The sequence below is a fragment of the Homo sapiens genome, chromosome 1 (genome assembly GCF_000001405.40).
Source record: "Homo sapiens chromosome 1, GRCh38.p14 Primary Assembly".
Lineage (NCBI taxonomy): Eukaryota > Metazoa > Chordata > Mammalia > Primates > Hominidae > Homo > Homo sapiens.
Genome location: NC_000001.11, coordinates 100,073,726 through 100,086,033, shown reverse-complemented (window position 1 = coordinate 100,086,033; position 12,308 = coordinate 100,073,726). Strand labels below are relative to the sequence as shown.

Genomic DNA, 12,308 nt, shown 5'->3' with positions numbered 1-12,308 from the left:
CACTAGAAAATTTCGAAGAGCTTTTGGTCAAAGGAAAAAGAAATCTTATTTTAAATATGAGTTAGAAATTAATAGTGTTACTCTCAAGGCACGTATTTTTCTGTCATGTATCACTTATGTGCTAGTATTTAAATTTTTATAGCACTTGTAGAATTTTCATTTTTCCCACCATCCTTATCCCAGCTCTTAAAATTTTATTATAATCTACTCTTTACTGAGGATACTTTGGTTTATGTATAAAATTACCATTTGCTTAAGAAACCAGTGAAGAATGTGTTCTGAACAAAGCTAAGCTATAAATAGAACTTAGTTACATTATCTTATATATATGTATACATATGAGATAAACCTTCAAAGTTAATAAAGACTTTGTTAAATAAGTTATTACCATTTTCTTTTTAAGTGGTGAAAATGTAGGGTTGGAATCCAAATACCTGAAGAAAAGGGAAGATAGCATTCCTTTACGCGGACTCAGCCAGAACCTATTTAGTAATTCAGGTAAGCAGGGATTTCTGGATTTTTGTACTTTATAGTTGAATTAAATTTAATGTATGAAGACTTAATGAATACCAGTAACCTTTTTTTGTCCTCATTTGCAGACCATCAGAGAGATGGCACTTTAGGAGCATTACATACATCTTCCAAACCCACAGCGCTCCCCTCTGCGTCTTCAGCCTATTTCCCTGGGCAGTTACCAAACAGTTAATTCTAGTGTCATGTTTTACTTTTTATTGGTATTTTAGAAACTCAGGTGCTTAAAAAATATGTCAACACAAACCAGATCCTCAAATAGCAAGTTTCAAATTTTACTTGAGCTGTTAAAGACTGGATACTTTAAGTACTGCTTTTATGGCAGTTTATAATATAGGAACAAATTTGTACTTGGGGATTGGTAAAGATTGTGAGTAAATGACATTTTTTGGTTTGTGAACATGGCGTTTTATAGAATAATATGAATTTTATTAAGCTATTCTTTAGAAATTCAGTTCTAAGGAAAGAGTTGATCCTTATGAGGGAGATTCTGATCATATTAAAAATCTGGGTAAACTAAAACCTGCTCATAACCTCATAGTATGCAACCAAAGAATACTAATTCATTTTATCACTTTCATTGGTAAAACTTTTAAATTCAACACCTGAAAATCATGAGGGAAAATGATTACCTCTTGAGATATATTATTGATGACATTTAAAGGGAAAAGTCCTAAATTTACCTTAAATAACTGAAATGAATTAAGCCTTCATAGCGTATTTTCCTTGAAGCATTTAAATTTGCTAGTGATGAATCAAATAAATTTGATATACTTAAAATAATTTGGACAGTTTTTATGTGACCAGATTAAGTGCTTTTGTCATTTGAGCTGACAAGTTTTTAAAACTTCAGTGCTTCCTAAATGTTTATACTCATCTAGTTTTTCTCAATTTGTAGTTTTATTATGCAGTTAAATCTGTATCAGTGGACTTTTAAAACTTGGTACTACTACTAAATCTACTATATCATGAATATTCATTTATTTTTATAGTATCAGAACTTGGGTTGATTTCAATGTTAATAAACTAGGCAAAACAAATAACTGTTAGAAGGTACAATTTTCTTCTCTTCCCTGTAACTGAAAGTTTTAAGAATTGTTCCTTGGGGAAAAATTTTTTTAAAATTCACCTAGAATCATAGGGCCTCATTTTGTTTTCTTATTGACAAACAATACCTGGTAGCATTCTCTAAAGAGTCTTCTAGATCAATTTTTATAAAGTACTAATGCTCATGTGATAATTTAAAATTATTTTCAACTACTTTATTACACAGATGAAGAAACATTTCAAGATATTGATGTAATAACATTACTGAGTCCCATGGTAAGAAAGAATCTTTGCTAATTTTTTTTTTTTTTTTACGAAGCCAGTATCTTGAAACTATTGGCAATTGCAAGTGTCTTTAAACTAGGGATCTAATCTGAAAATTCAGTAACTAATATTAGGCAGTTGATACTCCCCCACCTCCCCCATTTAGATACACTACTGTATTAGTGAGAATACTTGGTACAGTAACTTGAAAGCACTTGCTATTCTGGAAAGAAGCCTCTTGGTGATTTTGGAAGGAGCTTTATTGTAAATACTATGGAAGGGGCTTTGTTGTAAATACTATGTAATATATATAAAATATTGTGACATGTTTTGGATGGGATGCATGACATACAGGTAGCTCTCTTTTTTAAAATATAGGTATCTCTTTGCATATATATACACAAGGAAAGTTGAATTTTCAGGAGAGATCATTCTGATATCTTGCAAATTTGTATTAAATGTATACAGACTTCCAAGTGTGCTAATTCTTTACCTCCTAAACTTTTAGTTGCAATTGTTTTGCAGTGTAAAATTGTACATGTGTTAATAATCAAAAAGTGTTGCATTTAATGTTATTTCTGTAAACTTTGAGCTTTGTTAATAAACTATTATGCAGCATCTACACTTTGAAAATCAAGTACTTCAAAACGCATACTGCATTTTTGTTTCTTTCCTCTTGTCTTCCTTGAAGAGCATTTTTTAGTGAGGGAAAAGAAATGGATGCAAAGAAAGAATGAATAATGCTTTGATTTGTTACTGTAAAAATATGGTAACAAAGCCAAAACAGACCCTGTAGGAACTCACAGATCAAGACTTTTTTAAAAAAAAAATCATTAAAATATTTAACTTTATTAACAGAATATTTACATTTCTTTTAAGACCTTATTTAACCATAGTGAGTGTTCCAAGTTTAAAAAGCATTAAGCAATAACCACACACAAGATGAAAACAGTGTAAACTATACAGTTCTTTATATACAATTTTTACAAAGTAACACTTTTTTAAATAATATAACTGGACACAAAAATATACACTTTAGAGAAATTCACATCGGTAATTGTATAAAGCTCTCCTCTAGGGTCCTGAAAATTTAGGACAAACATTAGCTCTGTAAATAAAGTGTTACTGTGACAGTCCTGAAAGGCCACTATATATATTTATCTACATAATAGATATCACACTGACATTTTCAAGGCTACCAGCTTTACTATATAATTTTTAGATTATGTATTCAAGTGTTGAGGTGCTTATGATTATGCAAACATTAAAAGAATAGTGGTATAAGAAGTAGCTGGGGAATAAATTTGAGCCAGCATTTAGATTACAGGCTCTAAATACCCCAACTTAAATGCTAAATGGCTGATACTTTCTCACTTCAAAAACAGTAGTGAATAATGTTTAAAAGTACTGCAAACAAGCTCAAAACATGATTCAGATTTAGTACAGTTTTCTTAAGAGTTTTTTTTTTTAAATGCAAACAATTCATTTACCATTTCTTTGTTTTAGTGCATCTGCATTAAGGCTTTGAATTATTTGACCCAAGATTTTACAATATTAAAATCTGACTCAAAATTTTACAATGTTAAAACAAATAGGTCCACAACCATACTACCTACTGTGTCTCACTGAGTCAGCATAGAGTTAAAGCTCAACACCTTAAGGAAATGGTAGCAGAGACATTTGCTAATATCTAAGAAGTTACATATATAGTTTTTAATTAAAGGATGTATAATAAAACAAATAGCTTAGTGGCAAGAAATTGGTGCTAATAAACAAAAGGTTTTTCAAAAGAAATTGTAACATCTTTGGAAAACTGTCTGGTTCTAAGTTCCCACTTCCTTTAGTTCCCACGGAGTTCATGCAGATACATTTCTTAAGACAATCTTAAAGTACACTGTGGATGGAAATGGAATGTACATCCAGAACTAGAGGTGAAAACTAAGACCTGGGTGCTGATAGAAAAATCTTCCTGATTTCAGTCGTCACACATTTGTGTCCTGGAGTAAAGGTTCTTTGGCCTCTCCTGGCGCTTGTGTATTATGAGGATGGCTGTGACTGCCACAGTGCTTTCTCCAACTGCTGGACCTTAAGCTTAAATTGGTATGTTCCGGAATAAACAAGGCAACAAGCAGAGCCAGCAGTACTGAACAGGCTCCAAATAGGAAGGGAGGGCCAGGGATGATGGAATTCTGAGGAAGAATAAAGTAATTAGGATTTTTACACAAATACTTTTACTCATAAGGAGAAACTACATACCTTTTAGTATTAACTTATGAATTACAAGCTAATTGCTCTTCTCTTTATTAAAGCCATAATTATAAAAGGCATTCCCTTTTTAGGAGAAAAGAGATACTATCACATTCTCTATAAAATTCTGGGAATAACAACTGGCAAAACAGCCTATGCGAAAATATTACATCATTACTTTCAGCACAAAATGTGAACACAGCTATTCTATGATTAATTTGTTAGTCCAAGGGGAAAACGTTTATAGAAAGATCTCAAAAATAAAATCAGGCTGCACGTGTTGGCTCAAGCCTGTAATCCCAGCACTTTGGGAGGCTGAGGCAGGCAGATCACTTGAGGTCAGGAGTTCGAGACCAGCCTGGCCAACATGGTGAAACCTCGTCTCTACTAAAAATACAAAAAAAATTAGCCGGTCATGGTGGCATATGCCTGTAATCCCAGCTACCCGGGAGGCTGATGTTAAAAGAATCGCTTGAACTTGGGAGATAGAGGTTGCAGAGAGCCAAGATTGTGCCACTGCATTCCAGCCTGTGTGACAGAGTAAGACTGTCTCAGAAACAACAAAAAACAAAATAAAATCAGGTAGCATACAGTATTTACTACAGTAGCAAAATAAATTACCATTTCTTTGTTTCAAGAAGGTAATTATAATTTCAAGTGACTGGAAGTGAGAAAAACACAGGTTACCAAGAAAAAGAGACCTTTGTTTTAGCCCAAAATTACATTCATTCTTAGCAGAAGCTTGCACTGCCAGTTTTGTGTATAGCCCACAAACATTCTTTTATTTAAAAGTAGTCTTAGTGGGTTGGAAGATAAGTACAGAACTCTGCTAAATAAGCCAGGAAACTGATGAGCTGCTAATATTGGCCAAAATGATCAGCATTGTTTGGCATTAATTTTCAGTTGAAAAGAGGGAAATATAGCAAACAGTGAACAAAGGTTATTTACCATAAGCCTGCCTTTTGTATGAAAAGTTAGTTAACATACACAACTGTGATATTAGAAAAGTTTCAAAAGAGACTAGTAGTAAAGAGAAATGGTTTGTTACATATGCCATTGACAAACTAGGTACTTAAAATTTTTCATTCTCAAGTGGAAAAAAAATATGCACAGCCAATTTTCACAAGGTGGTATGTAGAAGAACACAGTCCCTTAAACTCTGGTTTTTAAGCATTTTATCCAATCTCAAATAGAATCTCACATAAAAGCTTTCATGACCAAAAACCAGTAGCCTTTAATCTAGCCAAATGAACCATACAATTTGATCATGTTGAATGAGAATTACCTGTTCAAAGTGGTGCTGAGGGCTTGTGTTTGTTCCCAAGTCTGTTCCTGTTATTGGCAGTTCTTTAAGTTCCACATGGAATATGTAGAAAATGAATCCATAGAGGGCCGGTCCCAGACCATTGCATAATCCTCGAATTCCTGTTATCATTCCTTGAACGACACCTACATTGTTTAAACAAATTATCACTTAGTAAACTACCTGGTTTTTTTTCCCTACCTTAGAACCAGTACAAATATGAAATCACTTAATCTAAAATCAAGCTTCTTATCAGACACTAGCAATTTATAGCAATGTCATTAAAAACTATTAATATTTAGAAGCTATCAGCTCTACAAAGTGTAGTAAGCTGTCCTATGCAAACATGAGCTCTGATGTACCCATATATAGGTCTCACATAGAAACAAGTGGGCAAAACTACTTTATTTCCCTAGATTACAGCCTTCAAAACATGGCTGGTTAAAAATCAGTCACAATTTCACAACTACAAATGTTAAAATTTATCTGTCCCCAAGCAAGTACTTAAGACCCCTTTTAGTCAAAAATAAAGTGGGGGGGTCAACTGGCGGGAGTGCAGTGGCGCAAACTTGGCTCACTGCAGCCTCAACTTCCTGGGCTCAAATACCTGGCTAATTTTTGTACTTTTTGTAGAGATGGGGTCTCACTTTGTTGCCTAGGGTGGTGTTGAACTCAACTCAAGTGATCCTCCTGCCTCAGCCTACCAAAGTGCTGTGATTACAGGCATTGAGCCACTGTGCCCAGCCAAAATCACACTTTTTTTTTTGAGACGGAGTTTCACTCTTGTTGCCCAGGCTGGAGTGCAGTGGCACGATCTCGGCTCACTGCAAACTCCGCTTCCAGGGTTCAAGTGATTCTCCTGCCTCAGCCTCCCGAGTAGCTGGGATTACAGGTGTGCACCACGACGCCTGGTTGATTTTTTTAGTAGAGACAGGGTTTCACCATGTTGGCCAGGCTGATCTCGAACTCCTGACCTTAGGTGATCCACCAGCCTTGGCCTCCCAAAGCACTGAGATTACAGGCATGAGCCACTGCGCCCGGCCAATAACACTGTTTTAACAGCATTTGATTTTTGTTTCTCTCTTTTGGATCTTTAATTTAAAATGCAACTTGCTTTGGCCATAGGCCTTTCCTTCCTCATTTATCAACCAAGTGACAACTGCCACTGTTTTGCAGTGCCCCTTTTATCCTTATGACTAGACAAAACATATCCTTTTCAAAGAAGTATTTGTCATCTGTTAGCATCCCAAGAATTAAATGTTCCCACCAAAAAAAAAAAAGAGAGCATATGACATTAAAGATGTTGCTGTGTTACATATCTTCAGATGACTGAAACTATATGATTTCTTTTTTTTTTTTTATTAGAGATGGGAGTCTTGCTGTGTTGCCTAAGCTAGCTTCAAACTCTTGAGCTCAAGTAATCCTCCTGCCTCAGCTTCCCAAGTGGCTGGGACAACATTCATAAAAGGTCTATGAATATATCCCACAAGGTGTCTAGCACAACACAGCAAAAACTTAATGCTTAGTTAATATTCTGTGGCCAACATTCATCAGTAAATTTTTTTGAGACAGGTCTCTCAAGGTCTCTCACTGTGTCGCCCAGGTTGGAGTTCACTGGCCTGATTTTGGCTCAGTGCAACCTCCGCCTCTGAGACTCAAGTGATCCTCCAACCTCAGCCTCCCAAGTAACTGGGACTACAAGCATGCGCCACCCTGCCCAGCTAATTTTTGCATTTTAGTGATGGGGTTTCCCCATGTTGCCCAGGCTGGTCTCCAACTCCTGAACTCAAGCAATCTGCCTGCCTCGGCCTCTCAAAGTGTTGGGATTACAGGTGTGAGCCACCATGCCCAGCCTCATCAGTAAATTTTCTATGAACAGAACAGATAAGCCACATATTCTAAGTGAGAGAAAAGGGAATATGTATCTACCTAAGGATAAATACCCTAGAATCTGCTTTTCCTGTTTATATCAAAAGCAATTTTAAAAGTCTCTACCCTGAAGATATACTTATGTTTCAGTACATAGGAGACAGAACACAGGATTAGAACATTCTGTACTTTTAAATAATTATCGCTAGTTCCTATCAACTCACCCTGTTGATCAGCATCAGCAGTTCGTGAAACAAGTGCACTGACAGCAGGAAAGGTGATGCTAGACATGGCTGCTACTGCCCCAGCAGCCCACATCATCCTATAAGGAGAGCAGCAAAACAAAAACAGTAAATTCTTCTCCACTGTACCTGAAAGTCAAACTACATAATTAAGTAATTCTTACTGTGAAATGGCTGTAGAGAAAAGGAGAACTGAACTTGCTTACTAGGTGACTATGGGCAAGTCGCTTAACAATCTGACCCTGTATACAAAGACAGCAACTTAATTCACAAGAGTGCTGTGAGGGTGTAATGTAAAATAGGGATATCATGTTCCAAACTGTAAAATGTGCTGGGTATTATTTCTACAGGCAATTGAGAGGTTATATTGAGGATAATGTATAATATAGATGACGAAACATCATCAAATATTTCCAAACACATGAAGCCAACAAGTCTTTGGCAAAGTTCTTATGGATGGATTTGTGAAGATATCGCTGATTTGATCTAATCCTTAAATTGTAAAGAACAAGTAACTTGGATGTTCCTGGCTTGATGTTTAAAAGAAATGTTTTAGGTAATTTCAATTGTGAGCACCTCTTTGCAAAGGCTAGTTTGGAGAACAAATCATCACCCTCTTGATGCTTGCTTATATCCAAGTCCAAACAGAGACGAGGCAGTCAGTTGTTTGAAATATTAGTGCAAACCATGGAGTTCAGTGCCATAATGCCTGAGCACAATAATACTATCTACGTGGGCAGCCTGACAACAAGCGTCACTACTCAAGTCCCCTGCAGGAAACCCGACTGGTCAGAAAAGCTGAGACACAGCATGAAGCTGGCACCAAAATAACTGGATTGTTTTCACTTCTGGTTTGCTATCAGTAATGATCACTGGTTATACAACTTTCTTTTTCCTGACCAGAAAAACAAAAAATGTAAATAACTTTCAGGGCCTTGTTGCTATGGGATTACATACTTTTTCCTAGTAACGGACTGATTTAGATTAAATGCTCCTTAAAGATTCAAAAGCTGTATAATCTCATTCAAAAATTCAGCCTGTCATTTAGCTATAAAAGGTCACCTTTTTAATCCTCAAGCCATTCTAGGAGAACATATAAATATACAAGTGGCAGACTTATATTAGACACATTTTGAAAGATAAAAAGCATAGTATGAGACAGATTACAGTCTACCCCTCAGTTGAGAAGCAAATAAAAACACAAGGGCTAACACCAAAATTAAAAATATTAACATTAAAATATTTATACTTACCAAGGTTCTGAACCAAAGCCATACCATGCCAACTGTAATATTTGAAATCCTAGACCCAGTAAAATGGTGTTCTTATTTCCAATTGACCTCATAAGTAAACTCAAGACTATGGTCTGAAAAAAAAAAAAAAAGATTTATCAGAATAAAGTTTTAAAAAGTGACTTCTTTCAATCTACACTATAAAAGGACTATTGGCACTTTTCTACAATTTGGCTGATTTTCAGCAATAATTGCCCTGAATATGTCTGAGATCACTAGTCCAGGTCACATAAGCAGATGAAAAGTCCCTCTGCTGACATAGATCCAGACTGAGAGTTAGAAAACTGAAAGATAAAACTTCCTATTCAGTACATTTCTACTGAGGACCACTTAAATCAGTAGTTGAAAATGGAAGGGTCAAAAGTTCTAACTAATGATTTGGAGATCCCCATTACATAATAGCCTTAAAGCTTGTTTAGGTCCAAGTTAGTCTAAAATGCTTATTTCCACAACTAAAGAAAAACTAACAGAACAATGATTACCCATATATTATTTACCTAAGTTAATCTGTTGTTGAAACCATGATGCCTTTTATAAACAGTAAATTAATAAGCTTGATTTGGGATAAATGCAGTATACTATACAGCAGACTTTAGAAAAACAGCCTGGATCATAATCTTGGCTTTGTGTGGCTCTCAGCAAGTCACTTCACTTTGAGCCTCACTTTTGTCTCTTTGCAAATGGGGATAACAGCACCTATTTCAAAACCTTGTCATGGGAATTAAATGAGATATATTTACATAAAGTTCTTAGAATTGTGCCTGGCAATAATCAGCGGTTAATAAACAATATTATCAGTGGGTGGGTTTTCTTGTGCCTCCTTTTTCTTTCAAAGTCAACAAAGTTCAGCAGTGATTTGGGAACATTAGAAAATTTTTTTTTGCTATTCTAACTAACGTTTTTAATATACTACATAAGATAGCTAGTAAGTCCATAGACAAGTAAAAATAATTCAGGAAATCACTATTTTATGATGGGCTGACACTTTAAAACTCATAAAATATAAGTTTTGAATTCTTTAAATTGAGATGGCCACTTAAGAATTTAATCACAAATATGCCAGTGAAAAGCAAATGATTCATTCAAGGATTTTTGAGCAATTAGAACTCACAGCTTTCTTGTCTAAGACTTTCACTTAAATCACGTGAGTATAAGACTGAGTTCCATGTAGAATTATATTCTTCGGCAACCAAACCAGAAAAGGAAACTTGCCCAGAGCCAGCAGTTAGCTGAGAAAAACTTCAACTGAAAGAAACATTTAGGCCAGGCACAGTGACTCATATCTGTAATCCCAGCACTTTGGGGAACTGAGATGGAAGGACTGCTTGAACCCAGGAGTTTGAGACCAGCCTGGACAACATAAAGAGACCACATCTCTACAAAAAATTGAAAAATTAGCCAGGCTGGTGGCACACACCTGTGGTCCCAGCTACTCAGGAGGCTGAGTCCAGAGGATCACTCGAGCCCAGGAGGTCGAGGCTGCAGTAAGCCATGATCACACCACTGCACTCCAGCCTGGGTGACAGAGACCATCTCAAGTCACCCATGACTTGTGGGTGGGAACTGGTGGCCAATATTATAAAAAATAATCAGAAAGATTAGAAATGATTAGGATTCTAATTAGGGTTAGAAATAATTAAAAATGATTTTATTTGTGGACTATATCAGAGACTGGCTTTCAATTAATTATGAAAAAGGAAACTGTAAGTATACCCAAAGCTCTGTGGCCTCCAACTGTCTGAGAAGAACAGGGAACTATAATGCAAAGTTGAAGAACTTCTGGGAAACTACTTTTAAGAACATCCCGGAAGGTAGCACTTTCATCTAAAAAGCTGTGATTCTTTATATGGCTCTAGGAACTCACAGAGCAGAAAACATTTGTTCTCATCATTCATTGAGATGATGATAAGCATTACAAGGAAGAAATGCTGTTAAAAAATAGATTTCACTTAATGATGAAATCCCTGGCACTTCAGCCAAGAGACAGGACAGTGAAGAAGGCTGAGCATCAACTCCCAGCTCAGTGGGAACAGGATGGCATGGGCCAGCCATGTACCCTGGAGCACGTGTTCTTTCAGGAATGCTAGTCTAAGAAAGCTGACACTTCTCAAGCAGAGATCATTAATATTACCAGAAAGTACTTATAAAATGCGGTCATCTCATAGCCCTTCAACCAACCCATCTAGCCAGTAAGTACTTATCTGCAGAAATGACTATCTTCCCCTTTGTGGAAAGCTGTTCTCAAAGAATAAATCCCAATTCAATAAAAAAGGCTTAGAATGCATTATTAGCCTCATTTCCTTTTTATAGATAAGATTAACTGGAGAATATATTTTCTTTTTCTTTTGGGTTTTTTTTTCTTTTGAGACGGAGTCTCGCTCTGTTGCCAAGGCTAGAGTGCAGTGTCACAATCTTGGCTCACTGCCACCTCTGCCTCCGGGGTTCAAGCGATTTTTCTGCCTCAGCCTCCCGAGTAGCTGGGACTCAGGTGCCCACCACCATGCCTGCTAATTTTTGTATTTTTAGTAAAGACAGGGTTCCACCATATTGGCCAGGCTGGTTTCGAACTTCTGACCTTGTGATCCAGCTGCCTCGGCCTCCCAAAGTGCTGGTATCTCAGGCGTGAGCCACCACGTGCCCAGCCTTTCTTTTTCCCCCCGAGATGGAGTTTCGCTCTTGTTGCCCAGGCTGGAGTGCTGTGGCGCAATGCTGGCTCACTGCAACCTCCACCTCCCAGGTTCAAGTGATTCTCCTGCCTCAGCCTCCCGAGTAGCTGGGATTACAGGCACGTGCCACCATGCCCAGCTAAATTTTTTTTGCATTTTTAGTAGAGATGAGGTTTCACCATGTTGGCCAGGCTGGTCTCGAACTCCTGACCTCAGGTGATTCACCCACCTTGGCCTCCCAAAGTGCTAAGGTTATAGGTGTGGGCCACCGTGCCCGGCCAAGAATATATTTTCTTAAGGCCATGAGATGAGTCATTAAAATTGGAAACAATGAGATACACCAATCCCCCTTTCCTGGGGTAACGTCCTATGTGCAGAATTACTGCAGCAGGCCCACTGCTGTGAGAACCTCCTCTTGGACTCCTTCCCCTACAGCCTATCTTGTGACCCAAAGCCCTAAAAGACACCGATACTTACAACACTGTAACTGGGAACACTGATTTTCTTCTTGAAGGCAGGAACTTTTCTCTTATTTACATTTATATCCCCAGCACCCAGTAAGTTCTTAATAAGTGTTTATGGAAAGCATGCATAATTCTAAATGTTATAATATTCTCAATAATATTAATAATAATGGAACAAAATACTTAATATATAAGTGTTCTTGAACGGAAAAAATTTTTGGTGTCCCTTAATTTAACTCTCATTTTGAAGATGACAGCACTGAGTCCCAAAGGTTAAATGACTTAAGCAAGATGGCATAGCTGATGAACAGCTAAGCTAACACTAACATCAGCTTTGGTTAGTCTGTCAACAAATATTTGCCAAATTCCTAATAAGACCAACT

The 12,308-nt window shown here is 36.8% G+C and overlaps 2 protein-coding genes across 11 annotated transcripts in view, besides 2 other annotated features; one reads left to right on the top strand and one right to left on the bottom strand.

Annotated features, from left to right (window-relative positions):
- SASS6 (SAS-6 centriolar assembly protein) overlaps positions 1-2,464 on the top strand; it is a 49,361-nt gene extending 46,897 nt beyond the window's left edge. For all 6 annotated transcript variants that reach the window (NM_001304829.2, NM_194292.3, XM_047447889.1 and 3 more), the window contains 2 exons: positions 404-498; positions 600-2,464. In NM_001304829.2, the coding sequence (NP_001291758.1) occupies positions 404-498; positions 600-706 (202 nt within the window). In that variant the 3' untranslated portion in view covers positions 707-2,464. The remainder of the gene's footprint in view (positions 1-403; positions 499-599) is intronic.
- The window catches only part of SLC71A1 (solute carrier family 71 member 1), a 45,283-nt gene continuing 35,631 nt past the window's right edge, over positions 2,657-12,308 (bottom strand). For all 5 annotated transcript variants that reach the window (NM_033055.3, XM_011541957.2, XM_047427999.1 and 2 more), the window contains 4 exons: positions 8,757-8,869; positions 7,486-7,583; positions 5,375-5,538; positions 2,657-4,031 (listed from right to left, as the gene is read on the bottom strand). In NM_033055.3, coding sequence (NP_149044.2) covers positions 3,825-4,031; positions 5,375-5,538; positions 7,486-7,583; positions 8,757-8,869 — 582 coding nt within the window. In that variant the 3' untranslated portion in view covers positions 2,657-3,824. The remainder of the gene's footprint in view (positions 4,032-5,374; positions 5,539-7,485; positions 7,584-8,756; positions 8,870-12,308) is intronic.
- Positions 8,153-8,302: an enhancer, noted in NCBI's record as "active region_1372". NCBI's record gives its function as "activates an Ori minimal core promoter by ATAC-STARR-seq in GM12878 lymphoblastoid cells {active_cell/tissue: GM12878}" and the evidence as "EXISTENCE:reporter gene assay evidence [ECO:0000049][PMID:35858748]".
- Positions 8,313-8,362: an enhancer, noted in NCBI's record as "active region_1371". NCBI's record gives its function as "activates an Ori minimal core promoter by ATAC-STARR-seq in GM12878 lymphoblastoid cells {active_cell/tissue: GM12878}" and the evidence as "EXISTENCE:reporter gene assay evidence [ECO:0000049][PMID:35858748]".